We start from the raw sequence: 13,353 nt of genomic DNA on the forward strand, positions 1-13,353 counted from the left end.
TCCAAGACTATCTTTTCTAAAAGTAAAAAGTACAAAAGTCTGTGATTTCTGAAATCTCCACAGGGTTATGATGTCCTAATCCCTCAGCTCCCACCCCGCTCCTTTTTTTTTTGGACAGGGTGTTGCTCCATCAGTCAGGCGTGATCATAGCTCACTGCAGCCTCCAACTCCTGGGCTCATGCGATCCTCCCACCTTGGCCTCCTGATTACCTGGGAGGGACTCTAGGCACTTGTCACCATGTCTGGCTAATTTTAAAATTTTTTGTAGAGATATTGCCCAGTTTCCTAATAGCATTTTAACAGTATTTAGTGAACACATCGCCAAAAGCATAAGGGAGAGGAATTTGCTTGATGCCTCCCCAGGTGGCAAAGGCTGGAGTCAGGGAGAGGGTTCCGGGTGTGGCCCGCGGGAGAAGCACGCACATGGCTCCATTGGTGTAGACGGCGTCTCCCCCTTCCACGTACTGCACCTGGGCAGGATACACGTGCTGCACCGGCTGCACCTGAAACATCGGATACGCTGCGTTACCGCCAGTCACGCCCTCGTGAGTTGCCTGCAGATTATTCAAGCTAGACGTGTCTTCTATTGCCTTTATGAACATTTAGTACCAAATGACAATGTTCCCGCCCACAGTCGGCACGCCTAGAAAGACACTGAGGAGACAGTAATGTACAGACGACATATTCCAAACGGGCCCACACAGTTCAGGGAGCTGCGACTGATCCCCAGAGCTCTGCTAGCGTGTCTGTGCGCCCTGGCTCCTCTGTATACGTGGGGGCGGGACCAGGAGAATGACAACGCTCCTCCAGTGCAGTGGAAACTAGAGTTGTGGACAGAGGCCCAGCCTTGGCTCACAGGACTGTCCCTGGTTTCTGTTTTTTTTTTTTGTTTGTTTGTTTGTTTTTTTGCGACAGGGTCTCCCTCTGTAGCTCAAGCTGGCGTGCAGGCTGCAGTGCACAGGGGGCTGAGCAGATTAGACTCTACATGGCCCCAACACCCCCCGTGGGTGGCCCTGGTGCCCCTTCCCTGGCAGAGAGGAGGGGAGAGAATGTGATGGTCTGAACAGAGTGGGAAGGAGCGGCATGCCTGGAGAGATGGGGCAATGGGGGGACCCCAGCACACCCCCGCTGCCCTGCCCTCCCCTCTCTGAAACATCAGTTCAGAGCCTCGGCTGACAGGCCCCGAGGGACTCTAGTCCGAGCAGTGGAAGCCAAACGCTTTGCACATGGGACTTCAAACTCTCACCCCAGAGGGCATCTTAGTGGCTGTCTACATCCACTGAATTTTGGGGTGAGAAGATGGAGGGCCACAGAAGTGGGCTTGTTCGGGTGTCATGGTGTCATGGTGACCTTCCTCTTGTGCTTGAAGCTGCAGGATGGGGCTGACCTGCCCCTCCTTGGACCACTGAGCATGGTATGCACTTGTCCAACGCACCACCCCCAGAATCACAAGTTCCAGGGGTTAACATCTGTTGGGTGATGCCCCAGGGGTGGAAGTCAAATGTCGAATTCTGGGGTCCAAGTGAAATGCAGAAGTTACAGAAAGAGCTGGGGCAGGCCCAGCACCAGAAAAGTGGTGGAAGCTTCTGGAATCTCCTCTCCTTGGTGTCTCTGGGGAGTGCCTTGACAGACAGCAGCTAAGACAGAGCCACTGGCCTGAGGCCCTGCGTCCCCGCTGGGCCTGTCTGGAGCCTTTTCCTTCCTGTGATCCTGCAAACCTTCCTAGTTCTCATGGACACAGTCACCTGACAAATGCCTGTGAACAGACTGCCAATCTAGGCAGGACCCTCCTGAAGAGCGGTGCATTCTCTAGGGCCTCAGGGCTCCTTTTAGGGAGGAGCCTGAGTTAACTTTAATTCAGGATTCTGCAGGGCACAGTTGGCAAACTCCGGCCCTGAGGGCCAAATCTGGCCCACTGCCTGTTTTTGTAAATAAAGTTTTATTGGCACACAGCCACACCCATTTGGTTGCATATCATTTATGGCTGCTTTTGCGATACAATGGCAGAATTGAGTGGTTGTTCCAGAGACTGCCTGGACCACAAACCCCCAAAAATGTATAATTTGGCCTTTTCTGGAAACAGTTTGCTAACCATGCTTCTAGAGTGTCCCCAAGCTGATGATCTGTGTTGCTACTTGGCTGGTCAGCCGTGCTTTCAAACTTTGTTCTTAGATAATTGAAATCATAAGAAGCATTTCCTCTGTTGTGCCCGCATCTGAGGGTATGGCACTCACTAGCAGATGGTTCCTCCAGTCCAGAGCCCTTTGTTTCTGTCTGCATTTCTACCTGAGCTCCACCCAGCAGGTGCGGGGTGCTCACTGGTTCCCCAAATGCTTGCTGAATTTCTGAATGAACGAAAGATCACCAGCTTTCTTGGCTTTCTGCAAAACTATCTGCAGTAAATGATTTTTTTAAAATTGCACAGCTTCTGGAAAAGTCTTTTGGCTAAGAAACTGAAGCTTACAACAAGGAACAGCAGCCACAGAAAAGGATGCATCCTTCAGAGATTGTTCTGGATTGCTGAGTGCTAACTGCGCCCCGGTTTGCACGGTGCTGCGGTGCTTGTCATTACCTGCTGGGGTACCTGCTGAACTCTGGGGAGGGAGATCGGCTGCATCTGGGCCCCTTTGGGATTGGAGCTGGCTGCCTGGACCAACACCCTCTAAAAGGGAAGGGAGAGAAGGCCAGTTAGACTTGTCAGAGGTCAGTGCTGAGGATACACACAGAATGTAAGATGCTGTTTGTCTGTTCATGTGCTTTTTATTAAAACATAGGCAGGACTGATCAGAGGCGACGGCGGGGTGATGGTCAGACTTGCACACTCACACCGACCTGGGCAGACACACGGCAGGTACGTGCAGGCACACAAACAATGCACATACATACACAAGTGTGCACATACACTCAGCCCATGCACCACACATATGCACGAATTGTGGGCACACACACACGTATGCACACACACATACACGGAAGCACATGCACCTTCACCCGCCCAGGCAGCTTTGCCTCTGTGGGTCTGTAGTCTGCAGCAAGGTGACACTGATCGTCCCTAGTACAGAGGGGACTGCTGGGGCCCTCTGGATAGCCATCCGCACCACTGCGTGGGAGAGCACTCTGTGGCGCCCCTCGCTTCTGCAGTATAACCCGGACTTGTTTCCATTTTCTGATGAGGTTAATGAAGCCAGAGGGCTCAAGTGCTGCCTCTGGCTACAGAATACTCGAGTCCAGGTGCCCTGTGTCTGGGTCCCTCGCTCTCTGACCCCACTGCTCTCCAGCCTCCTAAGTCAAATCTGCACAGTGTGGCTTTGCTATTTTTCTGGGAGTACCGATTGGCCACACAAAGCTATCAAAATGGGAAGGGTCAAAGTGAACTCGAGTCGAGGGAGGAACAGGAGTGTTTTGTGTGTTTATTGAGAGCTGGGGCTTTCGGAGTCATTGGCTGCAGTGCTGTGATTTCCCGGCATGAACCCTGAATGTCACAGGTAGCAGTGACTGCCATATATACATCACGAGGGGTGATGGGTGAGGACACGCCATCCCCTGTGTTGCAGGAGTGGAGCTAAGGATGAAGATGGTGCTAATAAGGATGCCAGCGCAAGGGCATTCTGATTCCAGGTGAGCTGGGCGCCGTGTGCTTGGAGAATTCACAGGGTCCTGGCAAGTCCTCAGAGAGGGACCACAGTGATGAAACCTGGGACACACATGGTGGCCGTGAGTGGCACTGAGACCTGTCCATGGTGGCTGCTGCAGAGGAAGGCAGAGTCCACCTAGGCCTGGGAGAGCCTGAGAGAGGGGCTTGGCAGGAAGACCTGAGGGCTGACTCCTCTTGGACAATTTCAAGTGGGCACGGAAACATATCAATTAGGCCACAACTGCTGGCAGGGCGACGGCGTCTGATCCTCACCTCAGATGGGCTTCCAAGACGCCCTCCCCACTGCCATATGTGCAAGAAATAAAAGCTAAAGATGTCTGACCATACACACTACATCAAATAAACCGCTTCACTGTCTGCCTTTTTGTTTTTGCGGAATTGTGTTTTTTTGTTTTTGTTTTTTTGTGTTTTTTGGGACGGATTTTTGCTCTTGTCGCCCAGGCTGAAGTGCGATGGCACGATCTCGGCTCACTATAACCTCTGCCTCCTGGGTTCAAGCGATTCTCCTGCCTCAGCTTCCCGAGTAGCTGGGATTACAAGCATGTGCCACAATGCTCGGCTAATTTATTATTATTATTATTTTTTGTATTTAGTAGACACAGGGTTTCACCATGTTACTCAGACTGGTCTCAAACTCCTGACCTCAGGTGATCCACCCACCTTGGCCTCCCAAAGTGCTGGGATTACAGGCATGTGCCACCATGCCTGGCCCTGAATTGTGTGTTTTAAAACCATAATCATTTCTTTTTGCTGTGCTCCTAACTTTTAGATTCCAGATCGAGGTGGTCACACGGCCACAGTGGACCTCTGCACACTGTGATGAGCCTCCAGCCTGTTTCATGTGGCCGGTGCCATTCGCTTTGTATTTCTGTCTTCTTTATGGCTTATTTCATTCCACGGTAGAAATCCAGGAGCAGAGAAAGCCTGAATGTGAAAATTCTCTCTCTGCGAATTTTAAAGAATATGTTCATTCAGGTGCTAGATTCTATTTTGAACAAAATCTTAAGAATTCTAACTCATCTAGGCTGGGCGTGGTGGCTCACGCCTGTAATCCCAGCACTTTGGGAGGCTGAGGCGGGCAGATCACCTGAGGTCAGGAGTTCGAGACCAGCCTGGCCAACATGGTGAAACCTCGTCTCTACTAAAAATACAAAAATTAGCCGGGCGTGGTAGTACACGCCTGTAATCCCAGCTACTCGGGAGGCTAAGACAGGAGAATCACTTGAACCTGGGAGATCGTGCCACTGCACTCCAGCCTGGGCGACAGAGCGAGACTCCGTCCCCCCCCAAAAAAAAAAAAAAATTCTAACTCATCTTTTGCCTTTTTGCCTTTTTTTTTTTTTTTTTTTTTTTTTTGTCACTTAGGTTGGAGAGCAGTGGTATGATTACAGCTCACTGCAGCCTCAAACCACTGGGCTCAAGCAATCCTTCCACCATAGCCTCCTGAGTAGCTGGGACCACAGGACGTGCACCACTATGCCTGGCTAAATTTTTTATTTTTTATTTCTTAAAGACAAGGTCTCTGTCACCCAGGCTGGAGTGTAGTGTCACAATCATGGCTTACTGCAGCCTCAACCTCCCAGGCTCAGGTGATCCTCCCATCTCAGCCTCCTAAGGAACTGGGACTACAGGTGCAGCCCACCACGCTTGGCTAATTTTTTTTTTTTTTTTTTAGAGAAAGGGTCTGGCTATGTTGCCTAGGTTGGTCTCAAACTCCTGGCCTCAAGTAATCTGCCAGTCTCAGTCTCCCAAAGTGCTGGGATTACCTGTGTGAGCCACTGCACCCGGCCTTACTTCTTAATTCTTAATAAAGCATTTCTGTGTAAAAGGGTCATTTCCAAGTACAAGAAAACCTCCACTGAAAGCTAAGAAGAGATCAAGTCAGATTTGGGAGAGTGGTTTCTTTTCCATTCATGTCATTGTTTCCTTGATGGGATCTTTTTAACAAATATTGAAAAAGCCAAATACAGTTAAGGAAATTGTGCCTATTTCAACAGCAGCAGCACTGGGACTGAGAAGTCCATTCAGAAAAATACAGATTCCTCTCTTTGCAGATCTGAGCAGCTTTCAAACCCATAGAGATCGCGTCCACACTGTGGCCACCCTGTTGTTGCTGAGAGGCGCGCGTTACCTGCGGGGAGGCTGGCACAGGCGGGGCTGCCGCCGAGGGACGCAGAGCCACGGACGCTGGCGAATCCGCTCCACCCTCGGAATTCTGCATGCTCAGGTCTAAAGAAAGGCGGAGAGAGATTGGGTGGGCAAGGGCTGCAAGCACTGAAATCCGAAGAGGCAACTAACAAGTTCAAGGGAGGGAAGGAGTAACCAGCTACATTCTTCAAAGTCGAAAGGCAGAGACCCTGGTGGTACTGCCTAAGTGAGGAGCTGCGGAAACAGGCTGCACAACTGTCCCACAGAAGGAGAGAGGGGCCAGAGAAAGTTTTCCAAATATAAAACCCAAAAAGGGCTCTGTCAGCGCACAATGGCAGGAATTCCTCAACAGAAGGCCGGGACACTGGCTCTGTGCCCAAGTCTGAGCAGGTTGAACTATTTTGAAGGGCTCAATTGTTTCCTCATTTACCCAGAAATCAAAAGCTCTGGGTGGGTGACTGCCATTTGGGAAGCTACTGCACCCCAAACGACAACGGGAGAAACTCTAAGGCTGGGTTTCCCCACTGTGGCACCGTTGACATTTGAGCTGGATACTTCTTTGCTGTTGGAGGCCCATTCTGGGCACGGCAGGGTGCTGAGCAGCACCCCTGGCCTCCACCCATTCCATGCCAGGAGCGCCCCCTCCCCAAGCTGTGGCAATCACAAATGTGTTCAGATATTGCCAAGTGACCCCTGGAGGGCAGTGTGAGAACCACTGGCTAGGGAGAGAAAAGGTGACCTGCAGAGGGAGCAAAGAAACAGTACATTTTATCCTGGGCTGGATAAAAGTCCTCACGAATTTTGGCAGTAAGTAAAAACTGCCTTCTGTTCAAAGCCATCTTTGCCCACAAGAAAGTATAAACATATATTTCTTTGCTGTCAGAGGCATACATCTTTCAAATAGGTAGTTTTACAATTCTATATAAAACCACTCATTTAATATCGTGGCAGATGATACAAATTTGTTCCATGAAAATGCTAAAAGTCGAACAGTCTTCACTTTTAAATAAACAATCGGCTATGTTGAGCATTTGAGACATAGTTAAGTACACACACTTAGGTAGGGAGGTGGCTTTGTGATCAGGCACACCAGTCCCCCGTCCTGGCACCAGCTTTGAGCATGTCACCCTCCCAGTGTGGGGTCTCCATGGCTCCTGCCTGCTGGGGGTGGTGAGGACTGAACCTCAGACATACATCGCGGTGCCCACGACATCGTCAGAACACAATAGACATTTGCTAGAACTTTTACGTTTCTCTATCACCCCCAGAGGTTTTATCTCTTATAATGAGTGAAAAAAATTTTAAGCTTTTTAAAAATGAAAAGTCAAACTTACAATAAATTAATTTACCTAAGGAAAGCAGAAAGGGATATGTGTGTTTGAATTCGAGTGTGCTGGATTAATCCCATCTGTATTGTTGGGGACTATTCCCCGACCACCACCGCTCCCCGGCCCCCGCCCCCGTCCCCTCCCAAACGCCTTCGATGCCACCCAGAGCCCCACGGCCAGTGCCTGGGGATTTTTCTGTTCTGTGTGAGCCTGACTCACTTCTCACCACTAGATGGCCCCAGAGCCACACGGTGATTGGCTGGGGCGTTAACTAAACCTTACACAGCCCGCACCTCCTACCTTCTACTCTTTCAAAAGATTGTAAATTTCCCATAGTGTATTTCCTGAGTCCTCAACTCACTCTCTGTCTTTGACAGAACTGACCTTTGGAATTTTTCTGTTACAAGCTGCTTGTATTTACAGTTTCCTTTAAATGTTTAAATCAGTCATTTGCACACCATCCACCATGCTGTTCCCGTCTGAAGCCAAGCGGGTAGCATCAGTGATACTAGGAGATAATTTGACTAGAACTCTTTGTGAAAGGAGTCCACCAGTGATAAAGTCAGAATGCTGACTTGACTAAGACCAGTTCCTTGTTCCGCAGGTGGAAATAATTTTGCTCCAAACTCCAGACCTTATTTAAGTAAGAAGAGGCCATGAGAGTGTTGGGGATAAATGGCGAGACCGTGGTCTGTCCACCATGGCCAGAATGCACCTTCCAGAAAGCAAGTTGTTCCACATCACAGGCATTTACACATGAATGTGTTCCCCTAATTTATTTTTATTAATTATTATTATTGTTTTTTGAGACGAAGTCTTGCTCTGTCACCCAGGCTGGAGTGCAATGGCATGATCTTGGCTCTGCCTCCTGGGTTCAAGTGATTCTCCCACCTCAGTCCCCTGAATAGACGAGATTACAGGCACCCACCATCATGCCTGGCTAATTTTTGTATTTTTATAGAAACGGGGCTTCACCATGTTGGTCAGGCTGGTCTCAAACTCCTGGCCTCATGTGATCTGCCTGCCTCAGCCTCCCAAAGTGCTGGGATTACAGGCATAAGCCACCGTGCCCAGCCTGTTCCCCTAATTTAACACACTATTTACCATGTGTTGTCTTATAGGTCAGACCAATGAGTCTGTGGCTTTTTGCCTGTGGGCATGCCCCAGTCCACAAATGCTTGGGTGCCAGAAAGCATCAGCCTCGTTATCCTGAAGGGTCAGAGGACAGAGTTCTGAATGCTGGGGTGTGGAGATTCTGGAAGAGAGAGAGCCACAGAAGGGGTGAGCCCTCAAATCTTCCTACAAAATACACCTGAATCTTTGGCTAAGCAACTACACCACAAAGGTGTGGGGGAGATACCAGGGGTCTTGGGGAAAAACCAGCAGTGCAAAGATAAAAAAATTAAGTGAAGATTTCAGCTGCTGCCTGTTGCAGGAGGGAGAGTTTGAATCTAGCCAAGTCACTTGCCTTCAGGGGAACTCAGATGAACCTACAGATTCTACAATACATCATTAATGATGTCCAGGACCCAGTAAAAACCATGAGCTATGAAAAGAAACAGGAAAGTGTAACATACACTCAAAAGAAAGAGTAACAAATAAAAAGAAAAAAGAAAAGCAGTTAATTATAACCAAACGCAAGATAACCCAGATGATACAGATAGCATTCAAGGACTAAAGCAGCTACTAAAAATAACTTCAAGAACTTAAAGGAAGTTATATACATAATGAATGAACATATGGGAATCTCAATCAAGAAACAAAGTATAAAAGGAGAACCAAATAGAAATTCTAGAGCAATAACTGAAACAAAAACTTAACTGGATGCACTCAACAGCTGGTTAAAGATAATGGAAAGAGTTAGTGAACTTAACAATAGATAAAAAGCATTTACCCAATCTGAAGAATGAAGAGAAAATATATGAAGAAACATGAATAGAACAAACTGTCTAATATATATGTAACGAGAGTCCCAGAAGAGAAAAAGAGAATGTAAGAGAAAAAAATATTGAAAAATGGCCAAACACCTCTACATTGGGTGATGGATATCAACTTAGAGGTCCAAAAATCTCAACAAACCCTAAAAAGAATACAAAGAAAGCCAAGATAGGTATGTCATGGTTAAACTGTTAAAAGAAGCAGTCAGAGAAAAACTACATATTATATTCGGAGAACAAGGGCACAGATGATGACTGGCTTCTCATCAATAACAATGGCAACCAGAAGACAATGGAGTGACATTTTTAATATGCTGGGGGGGAAAACCCTATCAGCCCAGAATTCTATCTCCAGCAAAACTATTCTTAAAAACTGAAGGTGGAATAAAGACATTTTTTGCATAAACAAAACCTGATAAAATTTTCTGCCTACCATGAGAAATGCTAATGGAAGTTCTTCAGAATGAAAGGAATTAATACCAGATGGTAAATTTGGATCTATTAGGAGTAAATATCACTTAAAATGATAAATACGCAGGTAATTATAAAAAACCGTATTTTTATATATTTTATATTTTTCCTTTTCTTCTCTTAATTTATTTTAAATACATAAAACTATTTAACAAAAACTTTATAACACTCCATTGTGGGGTTTATATCATATGTAGATGTTCTCCATGACAGTTGTAACACAGAGGATGGGGACAAATTAAGTTATACATTCAAGGTTCTTTTATTTTACCTAAAGTAGTAACATGTTAACTCTATAAATTGTGATAAATTAACAATGCACATTGTAACCTCTGAAGCATCCACTAACCAAAAAAATATATATACAAAAAGGTATAGCTAAAAAGCTAATAGAGAAATCAAATGAAATCCTACTTAACATATTTGATTATCTAAATAAAGGCAAGAAATAAAGAACAGAGAAACAAACAAACAAACAGATGGCACAAATAGAAAGCAAATGGCAGAATTGCTTTGCTAAATCTAGACATATTAATAATATATTAAGTGTAAATAGACTAAATTCTTGAATGAAAAGGCAGAAATGATCAGCCTGGATAACAATCAAGATCCCATTATATGGTCCCTAAAAGAAACCCTCCTTAAAAATAAAGGCACACATAGGTTGAAAGTAATAGAATAAAAAGAGATCCACTGTGCAAACTCTGATCTTTTATTTTTATTTATTTATTTTTTTGAGATGGAGTCTCGCTCTGTTGCCCAGGCTGGAGTGCAGTGCCACAGTCTCAGCTCACTGCAAGCTCCACCTCCCAGGTTCACGCCATTCTCCTGCCTCAGCCTCCCGAGTAGCTGGGACTACAGGTGCCCGCCATCACACCAGGCTAATATTTGTATTTTTAGTAGAGACGGGGTTTCACCTTGTTAGCCAGGATGGTCTCCATCTCCTGACCTCTTGATCCACCCACCTCGGCCTCCCAAAGTGCTGGGATTACAGGTGTGAGCGCCACACTCAGCCTGCAAACTCTGATCTTAAGAAAGCTGGAGCGGCTGTAATAATCAGACAAAATAGACTCTGAGATGAGAAATATTACTAGCAATACTAGAGACATTGACAAGACAAGGAATATTACTGCAGATAAAATTTCATCATAAGATGATCAATTTATCAGTATGACATATTGATTACAGATATGTATGTACCTAGTAATACAGCTTCAAGATACGTAAAGTAAAAATTAACAAAACTAAAGGAGGAAATAAACAATCATAATCGGAGATTTTAAACATCCTTCATTCAGTAATTTTGATTACTGAATCAAAATTAGAAGAACTAAGCAGAAATATTACTAAGGATACAGAATATCTGAATTATATTATCAACCACATTGATGTAATTGACATTTAGAGAACACTACAATCAAAACCTGCACATTCTTTTCAAATGCACATGGAATATTCACTGTGATGGGTCATGTTCTGGGCCATAAAATAAGCCTCAATACATTTCAAAATACCATAATTATACAGAGCATGTATGCACTTTGACCACAGTGGAGTAAATTAGAAATCAGTAAGAAGGTTAGAAAAATGCCAAATATTTAGAAAACTTAAAATACACCTTCAAAATAATCCATGGGTCAAATAATAAACCCCAAAGAAAAATAGAAAATATTTTGAACTGAATTATAATGTAAACACTTTGTATCAAAATTTGTGGGCACTGGTACAAATATTGTGGGTGAAAAAAAGAAGTAAAATTATTAAGAAAAAAAAGTGGGCACACCTAAAGCAGTGCTTAGAAAGAGATGTTTAGCTTTATATGCTTATGTTAGAAAGATTTAAGAACGTTTTCAACCTTAAAAAGCTATATAGAAAGACAAACAAACTAAACTTAATAGAAAGAAGGAAAAACAATAAAGAACAAAATTAATGAAATTAGAAACTCCACAAACAATGGAGAAAATGAACAAAAGCAATATTTCTTCAAAACTGAAATTTTTTCAGAAGAAGAAAGGAGCTATCAAGCCATGAAAAGACATGGAAGAAATTTAAACACATACTATGAAGTGAAAGAAGCCAGTCTGAAAAGGCTACATACTGTATGATTCTAATTAAACAACATTTTGGAAAAGGCAAAACTATGAAGACAATGAAAAGATCAGTGGTTGCCAGGTATCAGAGAGAGGGATGAGTAGGCAAAGCACAGAGGATTTTTAGGACACTGGAACTGTTCTGTATGGCACTATAATGGTGGACACATGTCATTATACATTTGTCCAAACCATAGAATGTACAACACCAACAGTGAACTCTCGAGGAAACTATGGACTTTGGGTGAAAATGCTGTGTTAATGCAGATTTCATCAACTGTAACAAATGTACAACTCTGGTGGGTGATGGTGATAATGAGGGAAGCTGTGCATGTGTGGAGGTATGGGGTATATGGGAAATCTCTGTATTTTCCTGTCAATTTTGCTGTGAACCTAAAACTGCTCTTTAAAAAAGCAAGTCTTGGCCAGGCATGGTGGCTCATGCCTGTAATCCCAGCACTTTGGGAGGCCGAGGGCGGGTGGATCACCTGAGGTCAGGAGTTTGAGACCAGCCTGGCCAACATGGTGAAACTCTGTCTCTACTAAAAACACAAAAATGAGCCATGTGTAATGGCGGGCACCTGTAATTCCAGCTACTCAGGAGGCTGAGGTGGGAGAATTGCTTGAACCAAGGAGGCAGAGGTTGCAGTGAGCTGAGATTGCACTACTGCACTCCAGCCTGGGTGACAGAGCAAGACTCTATCTCAAAAAAAAAAAAAAAAAAAAAGCAAGTATTTAAAAAAAGTTAATTAACAACTTCTCCTGGAAAGACTGATAAGAAAAGAAAACCCAAATTGCCAATATCAGGAATGAAATGAAATATATCACTAGAGATTCTACAGAAATCAAAATGATAATAGAGAACTATTACAAACAACTTTAGCCCATAAATTCAATAACATATAAAATGAACACTTTTTTAAAAACACAACATAACAAAACTGACACAGATGAAATAAAAAAATGTGAATGTAATACATATAACAAAAAAATTGAATATGTTATTGGAAACTTCCCTACACAGAAAACTTCAGGCACATATAGTTTTACTGGTGAATGCTATCAAATACTGAAAAAGGAATTATTACACAAATGCCATCAGAAAATAAAAAAAGAATACTTCACAACTCATTTTATGAGGTCAGTAAACCCTGACACCAAAACTTAACAAATATATTACAAGGAAAGTGTTTAGACTAATATCTCTTATGCACATATATGCAAAAATAATTTAAAATATTAATAAATCAAATTCAACAATATATAAATAATATAACCCACACTTAGATTATCAATTGATTTTTTTTTCTAATGGAGCCTCAGCTCTTTTCTTCCTCAACTGGATTTTCACAAAGGTGTCAAGGCAATTCAACAGAGAAAGAAGTCTTTTAAACAAATGGTGATGGATCAACAGAATATCCATATTGGGGAAAATAAATGAACCTTGACCCCTACCTCACACCATACATAAAAATGATTTCAAGTTAGAACATGAACTTACTTACACACAAAAGCTAAAACTATAAGACTTCTCAGAGAGAACATAGGAGGTTAGACAAAGGTTTCTTAGAATGCACAAATCAGCATAAAAGAAAAACTTGAGAAATTAGATTTCACCAAAATTTAAAACCTCTGCTCATTAAAAGATTTTGCTAAGAATATGAATAGGTAAGCCACAGCCTGGGAGAAATATTTGCAAAACATGTATCTCATAAAGGGCTTTG

General features: G+C 44.0%; 1 protein-coding gene across 7 annotated transcripts in view, besides 1 other annotated feature; it reads right to left on the reverse strand.

Moving 5' to 3' along the window:
- Window positions 1-13,353, reverse strand: part of RFX2 (regulatory factor X2) — a 117,337-nt gene that overhangs the window by 48,457 nt on the left and 55,527 nt on the right. For 5 of the 7 annotated variants that reach the window (NM_134433.3, NM_000635.4, XM_047439197.1 and 2 more), the window contains 3 exons: window positions 5,787-5,884; window positions 2,573-2,662; window positions 424-503 (listed from right to left, as the gene is read on the reverse strand). In NM_134433.3, the coding sequence (NP_602309.1) occupies window positions 424-503; window positions 2,573-2,662; window positions 5,787-5,876 (260 nt within the window). In that variant the 5' untranslated portion in view covers window positions 5,877-5,884. The remainder of the gene's footprint in view (window positions 1-423; window positions 504-2,572; window positions 2,663-5,786; window positions 5,885-13,353) is intronic. The other 2 variants (XM_047439198.1, XM_017027107.2) reach the window with 1 other exon arrangement.
- Window positions 7,286-7,405: a silencer, noted in NCBI's record as "silent region_9943". NCBI's record gives its function as "represses an Ori minimal core promoter by ATAC-STARR-seq in GM12878 lymphoblastoid cells {active_cell/tissue: GM12878}" and the evidence as "EXISTENCE:reporter gene assay evidence [ECO:0000049][PMID:35858748]".

Source organism: Homo sapiens, chromosome 19 (genome assembly GCF_000001405.40).
Source record: "Homo sapiens chromosome 19, GRCh38.p14 Primary Assembly".
Lineage (NCBI taxonomy): Eukaryota > Metazoa > Chordata > Mammalia > Primates > Hominidae > Homo > Homo sapiens.